General features: G+C 40.2%; 1 pseudogene, besides 1 other annotated feature; it reads right to left on the minus strand.

Annotated features, from left to right (window-relative positions):
• LOC100419786 (zinc finger protein 670 pseudogene) lies at positions 13,669 to 15,812 on the minus strand (annotated as a pseudogene).
• Positions 21,648 to 22,167: an enhancer, noted in NCBI's record as "NANOG hESC enhancer chrX:63372768-63373287 (GRCh37/hg19 assembly coordinates)". NCBI's record gives its function as "activates a minimal SCP1, AML or CMV promoter by ChIP-STARR-seq in primed H9 embryonic stem cells {active_cell/tissue: H9 hESC(primed)}" and the evidence as "EXISTENCE:reporter gene assay evidence [ECO:0000049][PMID:30033119]".

Raw genomic sequence — 24,717 nt, forward strand, 5'->3', positions numbered from 1 at the left:
GTAGGCATGGATCTTGATCTCAATCTTAAATGGGATTTTATTTAAAGTTCCTCTATTGAGTACAGACAGTCCCCAACTTATAATGGCTCAATTTATGATTTTTTTGACTTTAGATGGTGCGAAAACAATATGCATTCAGTAGAAACTATACTTCGAGTTCCCATACAATGATTCTGTTTTTCACTGTCACTACAGTATTCAATAAATTACATGAGATATTCTTTTTTTATGTAAAATAGGCTTTGTTTTCAATGATTTTTTTCCCAACTGTAGGTTAATGTAAGTGTTCTGAGCATCTTTAAGACAGGCCAGGCTAAGCTAGGATGCTCAGTAGATTAGGTATATTAAATGCATTTTTGACTGATGATGTTTTCAATTTACAATGAGTTTATCAGGAAGTAACCCCATCGAAAGTCAAGGAGCACCTGTATGTTTGCTGGCTTTTTCATACATAACCTCTACAAAGTTAAAAAGTTTTCTTTTTATTCCTAATTTACGAAGACATTCTGTTGTTACTGTCAATAAGACTTGAACCTTATCAAATATTTTTCCTGCAACAATATGTCTGCCTCCCTTGACAGACTGTGAACATCATGAGTGCAGGCCTCAACTCTGTCTTGTTCATTGTTTTTTTTCAATTTATTTATTATTATTATATTTTAAGTTTTAGGATACATGTGCACAATGTGCAGGTTAGTTACATATGTATACGTGTGCCATGCTGGTGCGCTGCACCCACTAACTCGTCATCTAGCATTAGGTATATCTCCCAATGCTATCACTCCCCCCTCCCACACCCTACAACAGTCCCCAGAGTGTGATGTTCCCCTTTTTGTGTCCATGTGTTCTCATTGTTCAATTCCCACCTATGAGTGAGAATATGCGGTGTTTGGTTTTTTGTTCTTGTGATAGTTTACTGAGAATGATGATTTCCAATTTCATCCATGTCCCTACAAAGGACATGAACTCATCATTTTTTATGGCTGCATAGTATTCCATGGTGTATATGTGCCACATTTTCTTAATCCAGTCTATCATTGTTGGACATTTAGGTTGGTTCCAAGTCTTTGCTATTGTGAATAGTGCCGCAATAAACATACATGTGCATGTGTCTTTATAGTGGCATGATTTATAGTCCTTTGGGTCTATAACCAGTAATGGGATGGCTGGGTCAAATGGTATTTCTAGTCGTAGATCCCTGAGGAATTGCCACACTGACTTCCACAATGGTTAAACTAGTTTACAGTCCCATCAACAGTGTAAAAGTGTGCCTATTTCTCCACATCCTCTCCAGCACCTGTTGTTTCCTGACTTTTTAATGATTGCCATTCTAACTGGTGTGAGATGGTATCTCATTGTGGTTTTGATTTGCATTTCTCTGATGGCCAGTGATGGTGAGCATTTTTTCATGTGTTTTTTGGCTGCATAACTGTCTTCTTTTGAGAAGTGTCTGTTCATGTCCTTTGCCCACTTTTCGATGGGGTTGTTTGTTTTTTTCTTGTAAATTTGTTTGAGTTCAATGTAGATTCTGGATATTAGCCCTTTGTCAGATGAGTAGGTTGCAAAAATTTTCTCCCATTTTGTGGGTTGCCTGTTCACTCTGATGGTAGTTTCTTTTGCTGTGCAGAAGCTCTTTAGTTTAATTAGATCCCATTTGTCCATTTAGGCTTTTGTTGCCATTGCTTTTGGTGTTTCAGACATGAAGTCCTTGCCCATGCCTATGTCCTGAATGGTAATGCCTAGATTTTCTTCTAGGGTTTTTATGGTTTTAGGTCTAACGTTTAAGTCTTTAATCCACCTTGAATTGATTTTTGTATAAGGTGTAAGGAAGGGATCCAGTTTCAACTTTCTACATATGGCTAGCCAGTTTTCCCAGCACCATTTATTAAATAGGGAATCCTTTCCCCATTGCTTGTGTTTCTCAGGTTTGTCAAAGATCAGATGGCTGTAGATGTGTGGTATTATTTCTGAGGGCTCTGTTCTGTTCCATTGGTCTATATCTCTGTTTTGGTTGCAGTACCATACTGTGTTGGTTACTGTAGCCTTGTAGTATAGTTTGAAGTCACGTAGTGTGATGCCTCCAGCTTTGTTCTTTTGGCTCAGGATTGACTTGGTGATGCGGGCTCTTTTTTGGTTCCATATGAACTTTAAAGTAGTTTTTCCAATTCTGTGAAGAAAGTCATTGGTAGCTTAATGGGGATGGCATTGAATCTGTAAATTACCTTGGGCAGTATGGCCATTTTCATGATATTGATTCTTCCTACCCATGAGCATGGAATGTTCTTCCATTTGTTTGTATCCTCTTTTATTTCGTTGAGCAGTGGTTTGTAGTTCTCCTTGAAGTGGTCCTTCACATCCCTTGTAAGTTGGATTCCTAGGTATTTTATTCTCTCTGAAGCAATTATGAATGGGAGTTCACTCATGATTTGGTTCTCTGTTTGTCTGTTATTGGTGTATAAGAATGCTTGTGATTTTTGAACATTGATTTTGTATCCTGAGACTTTGCTGAAGTTGCCTATCAGCTTAAGGAGATTTTGGGCTGAGACAATGGGGTTTTCTAGATATACAATCATGTCATCTGCAAACAGGGACAATTTGACTTCCTCTTTTCCTAATTGAATACCCTTGATTTCTTTCTCCTGCGTAATTGTCCTGGTCAGAACTTCCAACACTATATTGAATAAGAGTGGTGAGAGAGGGCATCCCTGTCTTGTGCCAGTTTTCAAAGGGAATGCTTCCAGTTTTTGCCCATTCAGTATGATATTGGCTGTGGGTTTGCCATAGATAGCTCTTATTATTTTGAGAGATGTCCCATCAATACCTAATTTATTGAGAGTTTTTAGCATGAAGCGTTGTTGAATTTTGTCAAAGGCCTTTTCTGCATCTATTGAGATAATCATGTGGTTTTTGTCTTTGGTTCTGTTTATATGCTGGATTACATTTATTGATTTGTGTATATTGAACCAGCCTTGCATCCCAGGGATGAAGCCCACTTGATCATGGTGGATAAGCTTTTTGATGTGCTGCTGGATTCAGTTTGCCAGTATTTTATTGAGGATTTTTGCATCAATGTTCATTAAGGATATTGGTCTAAAATTCTCTTTTTTGGTTGTGTCTCTGCCCGGCTTTGGTATCAGGATGATTCTGGCCTCATAAAATGAGTTAGGGAGGATTCCCTCTTTTTCTATTGATGGGAATAGTTTCAGAAGGAATGGTACCACTTCCTCCTTGTATCTCTGGTAGAATTTGGCTGTGAATCCATCTGTTCCTGGACTCTTTTTGGTTGGTAAGCTGTTGAATATTGCCACAATTTCAGATCCTGTTATTGGTCTATTCAGAGATTCAACTTCTTCCTGGTTTATTATTGGGAGAGTGTATGTGTGGAGGAATTTATCCATTTCTTCTAGATTTTCTAGTTTATTTGCATAGAGGTGTTTGTAGTATTCTCTGATGGTAGTTTGTATTTCTGTGGGATCGGTGGTGATATCCCCTTTATCATTTTTTATTGCGTCTATTTGATTCTTCTCTCTTTTTTTCTTTATTAGTCTTGCTAGCGGTTTATCAATTTTGTTGATCCTTTCAAAAACCAGCTCCTGGATTCATTAATTTTTTGAAGGGTTTTTTGTGTCTCTATTTCCTTCAGTTCTGCTCTGATTTAGTTATTTATTGCCTTCTGCTAGCTTCTGAATGTGTTTGCTCTTGCTTCTCTGGTTCTTTTAATTGTGATGTTAGGGTATCAATTTTGGATCTTTCCTGCTTTCTCTTGTGGGCATTTAGTGCTATAAATTTCCCTCTACACACTGCTTTGAATGTGTCCCAGAGATTCTGGTATGTTGTGTCTTTGTTCTCGTTGGTTTCAAAGAACATCTTTATTTCTGCCTTCATTTCGTTATGTACCCAGTAGTCATTCAGGAGCAGGTTGTTCAGTTTCCATGTAGTTGAGCGGTTTTGAGTGAGATTCTTAATCCTGAGTTCTAGTTTGATTGCACTGTGGTCTGAGAGATCATTTGTTATAATTTGTGTTCTTTTACATTTGCTGAGGAGAGCTTTACTTCCAAGTATGTGGTCAATTTTGGAATAGGTGTGGTGTGGTGCTGAAAAAAATGTATATTCTGTTGATTTGGGGTGGAGAGTTCTGTAGATGTCTATTAGGTCCGCTTGGTGCAGAGCTGAGTTCAATTCCTGGGTATCCTTGTTGACTTTCTGTCTCATTGATCTGTCTAATGTTGACAGTGGGGTGTTAAAGTCTCCCATTATTAATGTGTGGGAGTCTAAGTGTCTTTGTAGGTCACTCAGGACTTCTTATTTTATGAATCTGGGTGCTCCTGTATTGGGTGCATATATATTTAGGATAGTTAGCTCTTCTTGTTGAATTGATCCCTTTACCATTAATAATGGCCTTCTTTGTCTCTTTTGATCTTTGTTGGTTTAAAGTCTGTTTAATCAGAGACTAGGATGGCAACCCCTGTTTTTTTTTTTTTGTTTTCAATTTGCTTGGTAGATCTTCCTCCATCCTTTTATTTTGAGCCTATGTGTGTCTCTGCCCGTGAGGTGGGTTTCCTGAGTACAGCACACTGATGGGTCTTGACTCTTTATTCAATTTGCCAGTCTGTGTCTTTTAATTGGAGCATTTAATCCATTTACATTTAAAGTTAATATTGTTATGTGTGAATTTGATCCTGTCATTATGATGTTAGCTGGTTGTTTTGCTCATTAGTTGATGCAGTTTCTTCCTAGTTTCGATGGTCTCTACATTTTGTCATGATTTTGCAGCGGTTGGTACCTGTTGTTCCTTTCCATGTTTAGCGCTTCCTTCAGGAGCTCTTTTAGGGCAGGCCTGGTGGTGACAAAATCTCTCAGCCTTTGCTTGTCTGTAAAGTATTTTATTTCTCCTTCACATGTGAAGCTTAGTTAGGCTGGATATGAAATTCTGGGTTGAAAATTCTTTTCTTTAAGAATGTTGAATATTGGCCCCCACTCTCTTCTGGCTTGTAGGGTTTCAGCCGAGAGATCCGCTGTTAGTCTGATGGGCTTCCCTTTGAGGGTAACCCAACCTTTCTCTCTTGCTGCCCTTAACATTTTTTCCTTCATTTCAACTTTTGTGAATCTGACAATTATGTGTCTTGGTGTTGCTATTCTCGAGGAGTATCTTTGTGGCGTTCTCTGTATTTCCTGAATCTGAATGTTGGACTGCCTTGCTAGATTGGGGAAGTTCTCCTGGATAATATCCTGCAGAGTGTTTTCCAACTTGGTTCCATTCTCCCTGTCACTTTCAGGTACACCAATCAGACGTAGATTTGGTCTTTTCTCATAGTCCCATATTTCTTGGAGGCTTTGCTCGTTTCTTTTTATTCTTTTTTCTCTAAACTTCCCTTCTCACTTCATTTCATTCATTTCATCTTCCATCACTGATACCCTTTCTTCCAGTTGATCGCATCGGCTCCTGAGGCTTCTGCATTCTTCACGTAGTTCTTGAGCCTTGGTGTTCAGCTCCATCAGCTCCTTTAAGCACTTCTCTGTATTGGTTATTCTAGTTATACATTCTTCTGAATTTTTTTCAAAGTTTTCAACTTCTTTGCCTTTGGTTTGAATTTCCTCCCATAGCTTGGAGTAATTTGATCATCTGAAACCTTCTCTCAGCTCATCAAAGTCATTCTCCATCCAGCTTTGCTCCATTGCTGGTGAGGAACTGTGTTCCTTTGGAGGAGGAGAGGCACTCTGCTTTTTAGAGTTTCCAGTTTTTCTGCTCTGTTTTTTCGCCATCTTTGTGGCTTTATGTACTTTTGGTCTTTGATGATGGTGATGTACAGATGGGTTTTTGGTGTGGATGTCCTTTCTCTTTGTTAGTTTTCCTTCTAACAGACAGGACCCTCAGCTGCAGGTCTGTTGGAGTACCCGGGCGTGTGAGGTGTCAGTCTGCCCCTGCTGGGGGATGCCCACCAGTTAGGCTGCTCAGGGGTCAGGGGTCAGGGTCCCACTTGAAGAGGCAGTCTGCCCATTCTCAGATCTCCAGCTGCGTGTTGGGAGAACTACTGCTCTCTTCAAAGCTGTCAGACAGGGACATTTAAGTCTGCAGAGGTTACTGCTGTCTTTTTGTTTGTCTGTGCCCTGCCCCCAGAGGTGGAGCCTACAGAGGCAGGCAGGCCTCCTTGAGCTGTGGTGGGCTCCACCCAGTTCGAGCTTCCCGCCTGCTTTGTTTACCTAAGCAAGCCTGGGCAATGGCGGGTGCCCCTCCCCCAGCCTCGCTGCCGCCTTGTAGCTTGATCTCAGACTGCTGTGCTAGCAATCAGTGAGACTCCGTGGGCGTAGGACCCTCCGAGCCAGGTGCGGGATATAATCTCCTAGTGCGCTTTTTAAAGTGCTTCGGAAAAGCACAGTAGTTGGGTGGGAGTGACCCAATTTTCCAGGTGCCATCTGTCACCACTTTCTTTGACTAGGAAAGGGAACTCCCTGACCCCTTGCACTTCCCGAGTGAGGCAATGCCTCGCCCTGCTTTGGCTCACGCACGGTTCACGCACCCACTGACCTGTGCCCACTGTCTGGCACTCTCTAGTGAGATGAACCCAGTACCTCAGATGGAATTGCAGAAATCACCTGTCTTCTGCATCGCTCACGCTGGGAGCTGTAGACCGGAGCTGTTACTATTCGGCCATCTTGGCTGCTCCCCAAGGGTCCTTGTTCATTGTTATATTTTCAATGTTCAGCAGTATTCCTGACACATAGTGGTTACACAATGAAGGTACATTGAAGTGAATAGATTCAAACCTTTGAGTACCTGTGTGCGTAGAAGCCATCAATCTTGGACTTCAGCTCAATATATTCTTTCAATAAATACAATTTTTTAATTGTATAACTCAAATGACACTGAGCATCTCACTAGTTTATGGACTGTCTTGAATGCCACGGCACTCTCTTATTCATCTACCCCAATCCTCTAGCATCTAGCCTCGTCCTGGCACATAACCAGTGCTTAATTTATAGTTCATGAATGGATTTCATTTTTGAATTTTTTTGTTTTTAAAATCTCATCCTTTGAAAGCACAAGTAGAAAAACATTCTGTTTTGTCAGGCCACACATTTAGATTTTCTATTTGGAAAATAGGGATTCTGTACCTGTATGCTAGGAACTGGGTTAGCTATGCCACCAACACCATCCTTTCCCTTTCTTGACTTCTACTCATTGTCTAGACCACACAGCCCAACACTCAACACTCAATTTTATTGATAATAACGAAGTAATTGCTATTTCCTCTGTGCCAGGTACTATGATAAGCATGTTGATATTTATTCTTACATTCACTTCTCCATGAGATAAATACCATTATTAGCCTTATTTTACAGATGGGGAAAGTCAGGATCACAAAAAGTTACACAACACATAATTGGTGGATCTGGAATTCAAATTCAAACCCAGGTGAGTCTGACTACAAAGGCACACACTCTCAACCATTATGTCAGTGGCTTTCAAATATTTGTCCACTACCCACAGTAAGAAATTCACTTTAAATTGCAAATCTCTATACACTATTAAACTTATGCATGTGTGTATATAACATACATATGTATGTGTGTTTATATATAATAAATATAACTATATATAATACATACATAACAGATAGTTTCACAAACCAATACCTGGAATGACTGCTATTTTTTATTCTATTCTGTTCTGTTCTTTAAAACACAAATATCTATACGCTGTATTGATTTCACAACTCACTAATGAATTGTGACCACCAGTTTGGAAAACACTGCACTACACTGTGCTAAATCCTGAAACTTATTTGTCCTTCACCACCTCCATTGCTACCACCTTAGTCCAGGACACCATCATCTCATGCTTGAATTATGGAAAGAACTCCTTCGCTGGGCTGTTTACTTTTGCTCTTGCCCCATTCTTAACACAACAGCCAGAGGAATCTTTTCCAAGTCTAAACCATGTCAATCCTATTCAAAACTCTCCAAAAATTTCCCATCACATTCAGAATAAAATCTGAACTCCCAATCAGCCTACAGAGGCTTGCATATGCTAGACACTGCCTACCTTTCTGATGTCATGTTTTTCTCCTCTCCCCTTTGCTGGCTATGCTCCAATCACATAGGCCTTCTTTGTGTTCCTTGAACACCACAGCTCGCTCCTGATAAAGGTTTTTGCACTTGCTTTCCCTCGATCTGGATCACTCTGTGCTCCAATTTTCTTGTGCCTGGCTCTTTCTCCTCCTTCAGATTTTAGCACCAATGTCATATCTTCAGAGAGGAATATTCTGACCACTTCATATCAAGTAGCTCCTTAAACCAACCCAATTTTCTTTCTTATAACACCACCATCTTATTTTCCACATAGCACTCTATCACCATCCAAAATTACTCTAATTTTTATATATGATTATTGTCTGTCTTATTCACTGTTGCATTCCCAGCACCCAAAACAATGACTGGAACATAGTAGTTGTTAAGTAATATATTTGATAAAGGAGTGCTTCCTGGTCTACTCCCTCAACTTAAGTCTGAGTACAGGCAATATGCACATTTTTTCTGACTCCTCCAGGGCCCAGCCTAGGCCAGTGCCCACATTTTTGACACAATTTATGTTTGCCCAGTGGTTGTTTCAGCTGGTCCTTATCAAGAGAAGAACAAGCCTTCTCTTTGTCCTCATAGTCCCTCCAAGAAGCAGGGAGAGGCAACCATCCTGGTTCCTTCTTGAAGGCCAGAAATGAGGACCAGAGAGAGATTCATGAAAATTCTATACCCAGTCAGTGTCTATAACCCAGGCATTCTGGAAACTTGGACTCCTTGCATCTAAATCTCATGGTTTTAAGAGAAGAAGTCCTGTCCTAATCAGCACAGGACTCTGGAACCAGATGAGGCATCAGAGTCAAGGGGCTACTTCATTTAAAGATGGGACACAGGGAAGAGAGGAGGCAACCTCCAGCCCTAGACAGCAGCCTTCTCAGGCAAGGGACTTTGACCTCTCCTGCTCACAAGGGGTGAGTCAGTGACGAGGTGTGTCCCTCAGTCTCAGGTGGCCCTAGCCACCTAGCAAGAGTGAAAAAAAGCAGATTCAAGGGAATACAGTGTCTGGTTTCTGGACCTATCAAAGGTTGTCACTAGCAGAGGGAGCAGACTGCTCTGTGTTGCCCCCGGGTGCTTAACTAAGACCTGTGGGTAAAAAATCCCAGGGAGGTAGATATCAGCTAAGCACAAACATAATATCAATGACAATATGTACTGTTTTGTGAAGCAATGAACTCTCTGTTACTAGAATTGCTCATGCAAAATTGTATGAGCACCAACTTAAAGCCATTGACCTAGCAGTTTTTTCACCTCTAAAGGTTCTTCCCTATGATACTTGTATGGCTGGCTGCTTCTTGGCCTTCAGATCTCAGCCCACATGTCCCTTTCTCAGAGAGGCCTTCCTGACCATCCAATACAGAGTAGCAACCCAGGCAATCCTATTTCAATTCTCTGCTCAACACTAATCATTATCTAATACGTATTGTGTTTGTTCCTTGCCCCCACACCATGACAATACCCTCTAAAATATAGGCTTCATGAGAGCAACGACCTTCTTTTGTCTGTCTTATTTAATTTTATATCCATAGAGGCTAGAGCATTGTGTATCACATTGCTAGTGCTTAATAAATACTTGTTGAATGGCTAAGTGAAAAGGCCAAATGACATATGTCAGGAATATTGCAGAAAAGACTTCTACATACTTCTACATACATAGTAAATCTTCTACAAGGTTTACTAGATGACTTTTTTTTATACTAGATAACGATTTACTTTATGTTATAATATTATTCAAATCTCTTTAAATATAGATGAAGTCTATGGCTATACCACCCTGAACATGCCCAATCTCATCTAAATATAGATGCAAAAAGTCTCAGCAATATGCTAGAGAAGTAAATCTATCAATATATAAAAAGACATATACGTCATTACTGAGAGGTAACCCAGGAAAACAATGTATTTTTGCATCTGAAAGTCAATTAATGTAACACACCATATTAATAGGATAAATGTCAACAACCACAGGATCATCCAAAAAGATGCTGAAAAATCATTTGAAAGGTTCAATGCTCCTTCACAATAAAATACTCAATAAATAATAAACAGAAGATAACTTTTTCAACTTACTTTAAAGCATGGATGAAAAGCCCACAGCTAACATCATAAAAAAAAAGTTTCCCATAAGAAAAAAAAAGTGGAATATGTATATAGTGGATAACGATATCCAGTACCTGCCAAATAAGGAAAGTAAATATTCAAACAATTAAAAAAGACTAATTTTTCAATGATCCATTAATTATAGAACAATTAAACTACTATATACATTTACACTTACCTATAAATTAGAAAAACGTTTCAATTTACCCACAGATTTAACACACTTTAGAATGAATAGAAAAAAAAAGAAGGAGACAGAGACAAAAAACCCTTCAAAAAATCAATGAATCCAGGAGTTGGTTTTTTGAAAAGAACAACAAAATTAATAGATTGCTAGCAAGACTAATAAAGAAGAAAAGAGAGAAGAATCAAATAGATGCAAAAAAAATGATAAAGGGGATATCACCACTGATCCTACAAAAATACAAACTACCATCAAAAAATACTATAAACACCTCTACGCAAATAAACTAGAAAATCTAGAAGAAATGGATAAATTCCTCCATACATACACCCTCCCCAGACTAAAACAGGAAGAAGTTGAATGCCTGAATAGATCAATAACAGGATCTGAAATTGAGGCAATAATTAATAGCCTACCAACCAAAAAAAGTCCCAGACCAGACGGATTCGCAGCCGATTTCTACCAGAGGTACAAGGAGGAGCTGGCACCATTCTTTCTGAAACTGTTCCAGTCAACAGGAAAAGAGGGAATCCTCCCTAACTCATTTTATGAGGCCAGCATCATCCTGATATTAAAGTCTGGCAGAGACACTACAAAAAAAGAGAATTTTAGACCAATATTCCTGATGAACATCAATGCAAAAATCCTCAGTAAAATACTGGCAAACCGAATCCAGCAGCACATCAAAAAGCTTATCCACCATGATCAAGTGGGCTTCATCCCTGGGATGGAAGGCTGGTTCAACATATGCAAATCAATAAATGTAATCCAGCATATAAACAGAACCAAAGACAAAAACCACATGATTATCTCAATAGATGCAGAAAAGGCCTTTGACAAAATTCAACAGCCCTTCCTGCTGACAACTCTCAATAAATTTTGTATTGATGAGAACTATCACAAAATAATAAGAGCTATTTCTGACAAACCCACAGACAAGATCATACTGAATGAGCAAAAACTGGAAGCATTCCCTTTGAAAACTGGCACAAGACAGGGATGCCCTCTCTCACCACTCCTATTCAACATAGTGTTGGAAGTTCTGGCCAAGGCAATCAGGCAAGAGAAAGAAATCAAGGGTATTGAATTAGGAAAAGAGGACGTCAAATTGTCCCTTTTGCAGATGACATGATTGTATTTTAGAAAAGCCCATCATCTCAGCCCAAATTCTCCTTAAGCTGATAAGCAACTTCAGCAAAGTCTCAGGATACAAAATCAATGTTCAAAAATCACAAGCATTCTTATACACCAATAACAGACAAACAACCAAATCATGAGTGACCTCCCATTCACAATTGCTTCAAAGAGAATAAAATACCTAGGAATCCAACTTACAAGGGATGTGAAGGACCTCTTCAAAGAGAACTACAAACCACTGCTCAACGAAATAAAAGAGGACACAAACAAATGGAAGAACATTCCATGCTCATGGATAGGAAGACTCAATATCATGAAAATGGTCATACTGCCCAAGGTAATTTATAGATTCAGTGACATTCCCATCAAGCTACCAATGACTTTCTTCACAGAATTGGAAAAACTACTTTAAGGTTCATATGGAACCAAAAAAGAGCCCACATTGCCAAGACAATCCTAAGCCAAAAGAACAAAGCTGGAGGCATCACGCTACCTGACTTCAAACTATACTACAAGGCTACAGTAACCAAAACAGCATGGTACTGCTACCAAAACAGAGATATAGACCAATGGAACAGAACAGAGCCTTCAGAAATAATACCAAGCATCTACAGCCATCTGATCTTTGACAAACCTGAGAAACACAAGCAATGGGGAAAGGATTCCCTATTTAATAAATGGTGCTGGGAAAACTGGCTAGCCATATGTAGAAAGTTGAAACTGGATCCCTTCCTTACACCTTATACAAAAATTAATTCAAGGTGGATTAAAGACCTAAATGTTAGACCTAAAACCATAAAAACCCTAGAAGAAAACCTAGGCATTACCATTCAGGACATAGGCATGGGCAAGGACTTAATGTCTAAAACACGAAAAGCAATGTCAACAAAAGCCAAAATTGACAAATGCAATCTAATTAAACTGAAGAGCTTCTGCACAGCAAAAGAAACTACCATCAGAGTGAACCGGCAACCTACAGAATGGGAGAAAATGTTTGCAATCTACTTATCTGACAAAGGGCTAATATCCAGAATCTACAAAGAACTCAAACAAATTTACAAGAAAAAGTCAACCCTATCAAAAAGTGGGTGAAGGACATGAACAGACACTTCTCAAAAGAAGACATTTATGCAGCTAATGGACACATGAAAAAATACTCATCATCACTTGCCATCAGGGAAATGCAAATCAAAACCACAATGAGATACCATCTCACACCAGTTTAAATGGTGATCATTAAAAAGTCAGGAAACAATAGGTGCTGGAGAGGTTGTGGAGGAGTAGGAACACTTTTACACTGTTGATGGGACTGTAAACTGGTTCAACCATTGTGGAAGACAGTGTGGTGATTCCTCAAGGATCTAGAACTAGAAATACCATTAGGATCTAGAACTAGAAATACCATTTCACCCAGGAATCCCATTACTGGGTATATACCCAAAGGATTATAAATCTTGCTGCTATAAAGACACATGCACATGTAGGTTTATTGCGGCACTATTCACAATAGCAAAGACTTGGAACCAACTCAAATGTCCAAGAATGATAGACTGGATTAAGAAAATGTGGTACATATACATCATGTAATACTATGCAGCCATAAAAAAGGATGAGTTCACGTCCTTTGGAGAGACATGGATGAAGCTGGAAACCATCATTCTCAGCAAACTATTGCAAGGACAGAAAACCAAACACTGCATGTTCTCACTCATAGGTGGGAATTGAACAATGAGAACACTTTGACACAGGAAGGGGAACATCACACACCAGGGCCTGTCGTGGAGTGGGGGGTGGGGGGAGGGATAGCATTAGAAGATATACCTAATGTAAATGACGAGTTAATGGGTGCAGCACACCAACATGACACATGTATACATATGTAACAAACCTGCACATTGTGCACATGTACCCTAGAACTTAAAGTATAATAAAAAAATAAAAATAAAAAAATGTAACTGCCTTTTAAAAAAAGTACCTATTAAACTCATGCACTATTTCTTTAAAAGTACCTACTGAATTCTCACTGCAAAGCTTACTTGCAAAAGCAGTGAAAATCCAGTCTAGATATCCTCTTTAATAATGAGTTACTGATAAACACAATAAATAACTCATATACCATTTCATTCATGTTCTGAATTTTCTCAACCACTCTACAATAATGAGTTTGCATCAGGCTTTCCATATTACTTACATTTATAGGATTTCATTCCAATAGATGTCATGTGATTTTTAATATAATTAAAATGGAATATTTCTGTATTTTCCATATTATTATGCATAGTTGCATAGTAAGGGGCGCATTCTTATATTTATATGGTCCATTTCCAGTGTGCATTATCATGTGTCTTTGAATAAATATGAAAGAAATGAAGGCATTCCCACATTTTAGACATTTATAGAGTTTTCCTCCACAATGAGTTATTTTATGTCATCAAATAGAACTGGAAGAGCTGAAAGCCTCATAATATTTCTAACACTCATAAGGTTTTTCTTCAGAGTCCTTTCCCATTTTCAAACCACATTTCTTCTAGTCATAGGGTTTTTTATTCAGTTTGTTTTGTTTCATATCTTTGAAAGAAACCAAGAAAATTAAATGCTCTTCTACATTTCTTCCATTCACAAGATTTCACTCCAGTGAGTTCTTTCATGTATTCGAGAATCACCAGTATATCTGAAGGCTTTAACCACATTTTTTTAGGTTTATAGAATTTTCATAGGGTTTATCTCTGGTATGAGTTATTCCACGGTTATAAAGATGGCTGGAACAACTGAAGGCTTCCCCACATTCCTTATATTTACAGGGTTTCTCTCCACTATGGTTCTTTTATGTCTATAAAGGTAACTGGAATGACTGAAGGCTTTCCCACATTCCTTACATTAATAAGGTTTCTCTTGATGATGAATTATTTCATGTCTATAAAGGTTCCTGGAAAGACTGAAGGCTTTACCGCATTTCTTACATTCATAGGATTTGTCTCCACTGTGAGTTCTTTCATGTCTTTGAATAAAATGCTCAATAAATAATGAACAGAACAGAATGACTGAGGGACTTACCATATTGCTTTCATTAATAGGGTTTCTCTCCAGAATGATATTTTTCATGGTTATAAAGAGAAATAAAATAGCAAAGGATTTACCACATTTCTTACACTGATAGGGCTTTCCTCCAGAGTGAATACTTTCATGTCTTTTATTAAAAAACAAGGGAAAATCAAATGATTTCCCACCTTCCTTATATTCACTGGGCTTTGCTCCAGTGTAAGTTCTTTTATGTATTGGACAGGAAATAGAAAACCTGAAGAGATTACAATTTTGTTTACATCCACAGGGCTTACTGCAATGGGAATTCTCTGCTGTATTTGAAATAAATTGGAAAAATCAAAGGCGTTCTCACATACTGTACATTCATAAGGTTCATTTACAATGGGAGTTACCATGTGTCTTTGAGTAGTTGTGAGATAAATGAGGGCTTTCTGACACTGTTTAGATTTAGATGGCTTCTCTCCACATTCTGCACACTCATATTGTTTGTATCCAGAGTGAGATATAATGTGCCTATGAAGGGACAAGTGATATATGAACACTTTTCAACACAATGCATTCATGTAGTTTTACTCCAGTGCTAAGGATTTTTGTTCAGGCTAAGATTTGGAATCTGGGTGAAGGTTTCTCTCCACTGACTACATTATTTAATTTCATCCAGTCTCTTTATCATATGATATCTGGAAAAATGACTACCACATTATTAATGGTTGTCTCATTAATGATTTTCTATTTATTAAAAGGTCTTTAACTTAGATTGCTACCAATATCAGAAAATTCCAGATTTTCTGCACTGACTAAAGTGTTTGAAAGTAAATGGATTGATTACTCCCCAGCAGAGCTACCTCCACCATAGCTATTACCAAATATTTATATATGCAGTTTCTTAGCACTGTTTCCAAGTGAACTACTTTGCAAACACTGAGCATTTATGTTACATGGAAGCATATATTTTTGGTCAACATTTTTTATGAATAAATATATTCAAAGTTTGCTTATTTTTTTGGTTTGCTTGAAGTTAAATGACTGTGACATGCTGAGATTCCCTTAAGGAATAATGTTTTCTCTTGTGAGTGGAAATTACCTTAAATCTCTGAAAGAATTTTTTGTACTGATTTTCAATATGTTTGTCTCTCCATTGGTTTTCTATATAACCCAAGTTCCTTAAGATTTTTTGGATCACATTTTTATGTAGATTCTTCCAGGAAGGACCTTGCAAAGGCCGCTCTTCCCAGGTAAAAGTCACAATCACATCTTCAAACGCCACTGAGTCCATTTCCTGACTTATTGGGTGTGCTAGCACCCTTTCTGCAGATCTCCCAGTACCTACAGGTCGCAAGGGTTACAGAGGTTGTGATGAAGCCCCCGTGGGATTCCAGGAGCTGAGGGGAAGAGCAATAGAGATGGGACCCGGACCTCATGCCATGGAAACCAAAGTCTCACGAGATTGTGGAAAGCAGTCCCATTCTCTCTGGCTGCATGCCTGATTGGACCTACTAGATGACTTTCTTTAACTTTTATTTTAGGTTTAGGGCTATCTGTGCAGGTTTGTTATATAGGTAAAATTGTGTCATGGGGATTTGGCTGTACAGATTATTTCATCAACCAGGTACTAAGCATAGTATCCATTAGTTATTTTTCCTAATCCTCTCCCTCCTCACACCATCATCCCTCAAGTAGGTCCCAGTGTCTGTTGTTCCCCTCTATGTGTCCATATGTTCTTATCATTTAGCTCCCACTTATAAGTGAGAACACGTGGTGTTTGGTTTTCTGTTCTTGCATTAGTTTGCTAAGGATAATGGCCTCTAGCTCCATCCATGTTCTTGCAAAGGAAATTATCTTGTTCTTTTTTATGGTTGCATAGTATACCATGGTGTATATGTATCACAGTTTTTTTTTTATCCAGCCTACCGTAGATGGGCCTTTAGGTTGAGTCCATGTTTTTGCTATTATGAATAGTGCTACAATGAACATACACATACATGTGTCTTTATGGTAGAATAATTTATATTCTTTTGGGTATATACCCGGTAATGGGATACTAAATGACTTTTAAGGTTTTTGCAGTTTCAAACACAAAGGTATCAGAGCTTGTGACATGTGTGAGGCAACCATATGGGTCTCAGAGTTGTTCTTGAGAAGTGATTCTCAAAGTGAAGTCCCCAAGCCAGGAATATCAGCATTATCTGGGAACTTGTTAGAAATGCAAATCCTTGAGCTTCACCCAGACCGACTGCACCCAGGCCAACTGAATCATAAACTTTTGTGGAAGGGCTGAGAATGTGTGTTTAGATATGCTCTTCAGGTAATTCTGATGCATGCTCAAGTTTGAGAATCACTGGTCTAGAGAAAGCAGTAGTTGGCTCCCTATGGCAGCCCAACACACAGCACTAGGCAGGGCACATCTTATTCCTACTTCCATGGCCTCAACTGCCACCTTTCTGTATCTCGCCAAGACCCTCGCCAAGGCTCTTGGTATTGCCTTACATTCAAATTGTCTAAATGAGAACTTACAGAATTCTCCCCAAACCTGACTCTTTTCCCTTGAGCCAAATTTTGTCCTTTACACAGAATCCCTCAGACTCCAAATCCTGAGTCCTTCTATTTCCCTCTCTCTTTCAAATAGTCACCAAATCCTGTTGAGTCTTTTGGACAGCACCTGTTGCATCTGTCTTTTTCTTTTCATCTCCACTGTTTTCCCCCTTCCATTTCTTCCCCTCCACAGCCTGAGCCTTCATGGCCTCATCTCAGTGGACTAGCTCCTAGTTGATCTTTCTGCTTCCAGCTTCCACTGGGAGGCAAAAATGGCCTCCAGAGCTTTGTTCACAGGAGCTCCCACTCTCAGCATAGAATACCCTTCATCCTTATTACCATGCACTGTGGCAATGTAGTTCAGAATGAAAAAGCATGGATTCTTGCAGGTAGGCTGCTTGAGTTCAAATAGTGGTCTCACCTTGTATTAGTCCATTTTCACACTGCTATAAAGAAATACCCAAGATTGAGTAATTTATAAAGAAAAGAGGTTTAATTGACTCACAGTTCCACATGGCTGAGGAGGCCTCAAGAAACCTACAATCATGGTGGAAGGAAAAGGGGAAGAAAGGCACCTTTTACATGGTGAGAGAAGAGAGAGAAGGGGGGAACTGCCAAACACTTTTAAAACCATCAGATCTCATGAGAACTCCTTCAATATGATGAGAACAGCATGGGGAAAACTGCCCCCATGATTCCATCACCTCTCACCACGTCCCTCCCTCGACATGTGGGGATTACAATTCAGGATGATATTTGGGTGGGGACACAGAGCCCAATCATATAATTGCACCCCTGGTCCCTCCCAAATCTTGTGCTTTTCACATTGCAATACCAATCATGCCTTCCCAACAGTTCCTCAAAGTCTCAACTCATTGTAACACTAACTCAAAAGTAAAAGTCCAAAGTTTCATCTGAGTCAAGGCAAATCCCTCTCACCTATGAGCCTGTAAAATCAAAAGCCAGTTAGTTACTTCCAAGATACAATGGGGGTACAGGCATTTGGTAAATGTTCCCATTCCAAATGGGAGAAATTGGCCAAAACAAAGGGGCCACATGCCCCATGCAAGTCTAAAACCTGGCCGGGCAATCATTAAATCATAAAGTTCAAAAATCTCCTTTCACTTCATGTCTCACATCCAGGGCATGCTGGTGGAAGGGGTGGGCTCCCAAGGCCTTGGGTAGCTCTGCCCCTGTGGCTCTGTAGAGTACAGCCCTCTTGCATGCTTTCACTGGCCAGCATTGAGGGCCTGCAGCTTTTTCAGGTGCACGATGCAAGCTGTTAGTGGATCGATCTTTCTGGGATCTGGAGGATGATGGCACACTTCTCACAGCTCCTTTAGGCAGTGCTTCAGTGGAGACTCTGTGTGGGGGGCCCAACCCCACATTTTCCTACCATACTGCCCTAGCAGAGGTTCTCCATGAGGACTCCTCCCCTGCAGTAGACTTCTGTCTGAACATCCAGGCATTTCTATACATTCTCTGAAATCTAGGTGGAGGTTCCCAGAGCTCAATTCTTGTCTTCTGCATACCTGCAGGCCCAAAACCATGTGGAAGCTACCAAGGCTTGTGGCTTGCACCCTCTGAACCCATGGTCAGAGGTGTACCTTGTCCCCTTTTAGCCATGGCTGGAGCTGGAGCATCTAGGACACAGGGCACCAAGTCCCAAGGGTGCACAGAGCAGTGGGGTCCTGAACCTGGCCCACAAAACCATTTTTCCTTTCTAGTCCTCTGGGCCTGTGATGGGAGGGGCTGCAGTGAAGATTTCTGACATGCCCTGGAGACATTTTCCCCATTGTCTTGGTGATTAACATTCGGGTCCTTTTTACTTATGCAAATTTCTGCAGCTAGCTTGAATTCCTCTCCAGAAAATGGGTTTTTCTTTTCTACCACATAGTGATGCTGCAAATTTTCCAAAACTTTATGCTCTGCTTCTCTTTTAAACATAAGTTCCAATTTCAAACCATCTTTTTGTGAATGCATGTAACTGAAAGCTTTCAGAATAATCCAAGTCACCTCTTGAATGCTTTGCTGCTTAGAAATTTCTTCCACTAGATACCTTAAATCACCTCTCTCAAGTCAAAAATTCCACAGATCTTGCACCCTCTGAAGCCATGGTCAGAGCTGTACCTTGGCCCCTTTTAGCTGTGGCTGGAGCTGGAGCATCTGGGACGCAGGACACCAAGTCCCAAGGCTGCACTATTGTGCAGGGGTAAAAATGATGCCAGTCTCTTTGCTAAAGCATAGCAAAAGTGACTTTCACTCCAGTTCCCAATAAGTTCCTCATTTCCATCTGAGACTACATCAGTCTGGACTTCATTGTCCATATCACTATCAGCATTTTGGTCAAAAAAATTCAGCAAGTCTCTAGGAAGTTCCAAACTTCCCCACATATTCCTATCTTGATCTGAGACCTCCAAACTGTTTCAACCTCTTCATGTTACGCAGTTCCAAAGTTGCTTCCACATTTTCAGGCTATCTTTATTGCAGTACACCACTATTCTGGTACCAATTATCTGTATTAGTCCGTTTTCACACTGCTATAAAGAAATATCTGAGAATAGGTAATTTATTTAAAAAATATGGGTTAATCAACTCAGTTCCCCATGGCTGGAGAGGCCTCGGGAAACCTACAGTCATTTCAGAAAGTGAAAGGAAAGCAAGGCACCTCTTACATTGTGGCAGGAGAGAGAGAGAGAAGTGGGGAATTGCCAAACACTTTTAAAGCCTTCAGATCTCCTGAGGACTCCTTCACTATCATGAGAACAGCATGGAGGAAACTGCTCCCATAATCCAATCAACAACCACCAGGTACCTCCCTTGACACATGGGGATTACAATTCAGGATGAGATTTGGGTGAGGGCCCAGAGCCAAACCATATCACACCTCTTCCTAGCTGTGTGATCCTGGGCATGACCTCTGACGTCTCTGTGACTCTTATTTCTCATCTGAAAAATGGGGATCATGGTCAGAGTTCCTACTTTATGGGATTGTGGTGAGAATTAAATGGGTTACTGTATGTAAAGTACATAGAATGATGCTTAGTTTGAGGTAAGTATAATATATGTGTTTGTTATTGTTGGTAGTAGTAGTCTTAATACCTAATCTTGAAACCCAAATCAATTCCTATCCTTTCTTTGAAGACTGCCTTGACATTCAGAAGAAACTTCTCTTTCTTTTGTTTTCCTGTAACATTTAATCTCAGTGATAGAGTCAGATGGAACATTAAGGCTCAGAGAGGTTCTAAGATTTATCCAAGGTCAACCTAAGTCACTACTAGTTAAGACTAAGGCTCCCTGGCACCACAACATTCTCAGATGCTTCTGAATCCTTCATTTCAATCCCTTTCAATCTTACGTGTCCAGAAAAAATAAACATAGCAGGGGCCCCAGAATAATCAGAAAACACATATTTTAAAATAGCCTTTAAGGTGCCTTTAGTCTTCTTGGTCAGAAGAATGGGAGTACAGGGGGTTGGTGTTGAGAAAAAGACCAAGTGTGAGGAATGTGAGCACTAAATGTGTGAAGATGGAATCCAGCTGTGTCTACACTCAGGATCAGGCATACACATTATCTCCATTCTTTTGCCAACTTTTGCCAGGTAAATGGCAGGGGGATGACCATTGCTCAAGGAGGCTGAGACCCTGTCTCAGAGGAAAAGGGGGAGAGGGATGGGTAGACTAAAACAGGTGGCTATGATTTAATGGATGTCTGTATGATTTGAGAACCCTGAGGCATTGGGCTAGGCACTGAAAGAGAAAGTCATAAAGATGACTAATGATTGGCTTGGCTCTGTGACATGGCAGTCTTCTTCCAGCTTCCTTGACAGGCTGGAGAAGCCATTAAAATATGTGCAGAGCTAGTTCTAACAAGTTGCTGCAGGACCAAAAAAGAGATTTGAAAGAATTGTGGCTCTCCAGACAGCAACCTTTCTGGCAAGCAGGACTCAGTCTGGACTGTCAGAGATTGGGATATCCTGGGTTTTAGTGTCCATAGGCTCAGCTTCCCAGAAAGGTAAGCTCCCTTCACAGAATGAAACACCTAAGTAAATTGAGGACAAGGTAGTCAAGTAGGTGTTATGGTTTGAACGTTTGTCCCCCTAAACCTCATATGGAAATTTGATCCTAATTGCTGGAGATGCAGCCAAATGGAAGGTGTTTGAGTCATGGGGACAGATAGCTCACTAATAGATTAATGCCCTCCCTGTGAAGAGGGGTGGGGAGGGTGAGTGAATTCTCACCTTATTAGTTCCCAGGACAGCTGGTTGTTAAAATCAGTCTGGGAATATAATTTGAATTGGATTTCCAAGATGGCCAAATAGGAACAGCTCTGGTCTGCAGTTCCCAGGGAGATCAACACAGAAGATGGACGATTTCTTCATTTCCAACTGAGGTACCTGGTTCATCTCACTGGAACTGGTTGGAGAGTGGGTGCAGCCCACAGAAGGTGAGCTGAAGCAAGGCAGGGCATCGCCTCACCCAAGAAGCATAAGGGGTTGGGGGATTTCCCTTTCCTAGCCAAGGGAAGCCATGACAGACTGTACCTGAAGAAATGGTACACCTCTGACCAAATACGTCACTTTTCCCACAGTCTTAGCAACTGGCAGTCCAGGAGATACCCACCCATGCCTGGCTCAGTGGGTCCCACGCCCACACAGCCTTGCTCACTGCAGTCTGAGATTGACCTGCAATGCTGCAGCTTGATGGGGGGAGGGGTGTCTGCCATTGCTGAGGTTTGAGTAGCTTACAGTGTAAACAAAGCAGCTGGGAAGCACAAACTGGGCGGAGCCCACCACAGCTCAGCAGGGCCTACTACCTCTATAGATTCCACCTCTGGGGGCAGGGCATAGTAGAACAAAAGGCAGCAGACAGCTTCTACAGACTTAAACGTCCCTGTCTGACAGCACTGAAGAGAGCAGTGGTTCTCTCAGCATGGTGTTCGATCTCCGAGAATGGACAGACTGCCTCCTCAAGCGGGTCTCTGATCCCTGTGTAGCCTGACTGGGAAACACCTCCCAGTAGGGGCCGACAGACACCTCAAACATGCGGGTGCCCCTCTGGGATGAAACTTCCAGAGGAAGGATCAGGCATCAGTATTTGCTGTTCTGCAGCCTCTGCTGGTGATACCCAGGCAAACAGGGTCTGGAGTGGACCTCCAGCAAATGCCAATAGACCTGCAGCTGAGACTGTTAGAAGGAAAACTAAGAAACAGAAAGGAATAGCATCAACATCAACAAAAAGAACATCCACACCAAAACCCCATCTGTAGGTCACCAACAACAAAGACCAAAGGTAGATAAAACCACAAAGATGGGGAGAAACCAGAGCAGAAAAGCTGAAAATTCCAAAAAACAGAGCATCTCTTCTCCTCCAGAGGATTGCAGCTCCTCGCCAGCAAGGGAACAAAACTGGATGGAGAATGACTTTGATGAGTTGACAGAAGTAGGCTTCAGAAGGTTGGTAATAACAAACTTCTCTGAGCTAAAGAAGCATGTTCTAACTCATTGCAAGGAAGCTAAAAACCTTGAAAAAATGTTAGATGAATGGCTAACTAAAATAAACAGTGTAGAGAAGACCTTAAATGACCTGATGGAGCAGCCAGAGAGAAAGGTCAGGTTATCCTCAAAGGGAAACCCATCAGGCTAACAGCAGATCTCTCAGGAGAAACCCTACAACCAAGAAGAGAGAGGGGGCCAATATTCAACATTCTTAAAGGAAAGAATTTTCAACCCAGAATCTCATATCCAGTCAAACGAAGCTTCATAAGTGAAGGAGAAATGAAATCCTTTACAGACAAGCAAATGCTGAGAGATTTTGTCACCACCAGGCCTGCCTTACAAGAGCTCCTGAAGGAAGCACTAAACATGGAAAGAAACAATCAGTACCTGCCACTGCAAAAACATGCCAAATGGTAAAAACCATCGACACTATGAAGAAACTGCATCAATTAATGGGCAAAATAACCAGCTAATATCATAATGACAGGATCAAAGTCAGACATAACAATATCAACCTTAAATGTCAATGGGCTAAATGCCCCAGTTAAAAGACACAGACTGGCAAATGGGATAAAGAGTCAAGACTCATTGGTGTGCTGTATTCAGGAGACCCAACTCAAATGCAAAGACACATATAGGCTCAAAATAAAGGGATGGAGGAAGATCTAACAAGCAAATGGAAAGCAAAAAAAAAAAAGCAGGGGTTGCAATCCTAGTCTCTGATAAAACAGACTTTAAACCAACAGAGATCAAAAAAGACAAAGAAGGCCACTACATAATGGTAAAGGGATCCATGTAACAAGAAGAGCTAACTATCCTAAATGTATATGCACCCAATATGGGAGCAGCCAGATTCATAAAGCAAGTCCTTAGAGACCTACAAAGAGACTTAGACTCACACAATAATAATGGGAGACTTTAACACTCCACTGTCAATATTAGATCAATAAGACAGAAGGTTAACAAGGATATACAGGACTTGAACTCAGCCCTGGACCAAGCAGACCTAATAGACATCTACAGAACTCTCCACCCTAAATCAACAGAATATACATTCTTCTCAGCACCACATCACACTTATTCTAAACTTGACCATGTAATTGGTAGTAAAACACTCCTCAGCAAATGTAAAAGAACAGAAATCACAACAAACTGTCTCTCAGACCACAGTGCAATCCAATTAGAATTCAGGATCAATAAACTCACTCAAAATCACACAACTACATGGAAGCTGAACAAGCTGCTCCTGAATGACTATTGTGTAAATAACGAAATTAAGGCAAAAATAAAGATGTTCTTTAAAACCAATGAGAAGAAAGACACAAAGTACCAGAATCTCTGGGACACATTTGAAGCAGTGTGTAGAGGGAAATTTATAGCACTAAATGCCCACAAAAGAAAGCAGGAAAGTTCTAAAATTGACATCCTAACATCACAATTAAAAGAAATAGAGAAGCAAGAGCAAACAAATTCAAAACTAGCAGAAGGCAAGAAATAACTAAGATCAGAGGAAACTGAAGAAGATAGAGACACAAAAAAACCCTTCAAAAAATCAATGGATCCAGGAGCTGGTTTTTTGAAAAAATCAACAAAATTGATAGACCACTAGCAAGACTAATAAAGAAGAAAAGAGAGAAGAATCAAATAGATGCAATAAAAAATGATAAAGAGGATATCACCAATGATCCCACAGAAATACAAACTACCATCAAAGAATACTATAAACACCTCTACGCAAATAAACTAGAAAATCTAGAAGAATTGAATAATTTCCTGGACAACATACACTATCCCAAGACTAAACTAGAAAGAAGTTGAATCTCTGAATAGACCAATAACAGGATCTGAAATTGAGGTAATAATTAATAGATGACCAACCAAAAAAAGTCCAGGACCAGATGGATTCACAGCCGAATTCTACCAGAGGTACAAAGAGGAGCTGGTACCATTCCTTTTGAAACTATTTCAATCAATAGAAAAAGAGGGAATCCTCCCTAACTCATTTTATGGGTCTAGTGTCATCCTGATAACAAAGCCTGGTAGAGACAAAACAAAAAAAGAGACTTTTAGACCAATATCCCTGAGGAACATCGATGTGAAAATAGTCAATAAAATACGGGCAAACCAAATCCAGCAGCACATCAAAAAGCTT

The sequence above is a fragment of the Homo sapiens genome, chromosome X (genome assembly GCF_000001405.40).
Source record: "Homo sapiens chromosome X, GRCh38.p14 Primary Assembly".
In the NCBI taxonomy this organism is placed as follows: Eukaryota; Metazoa; Chordata; class Mammalia; order Primates; family Hominidae; genus Homo; species Homo sapiens.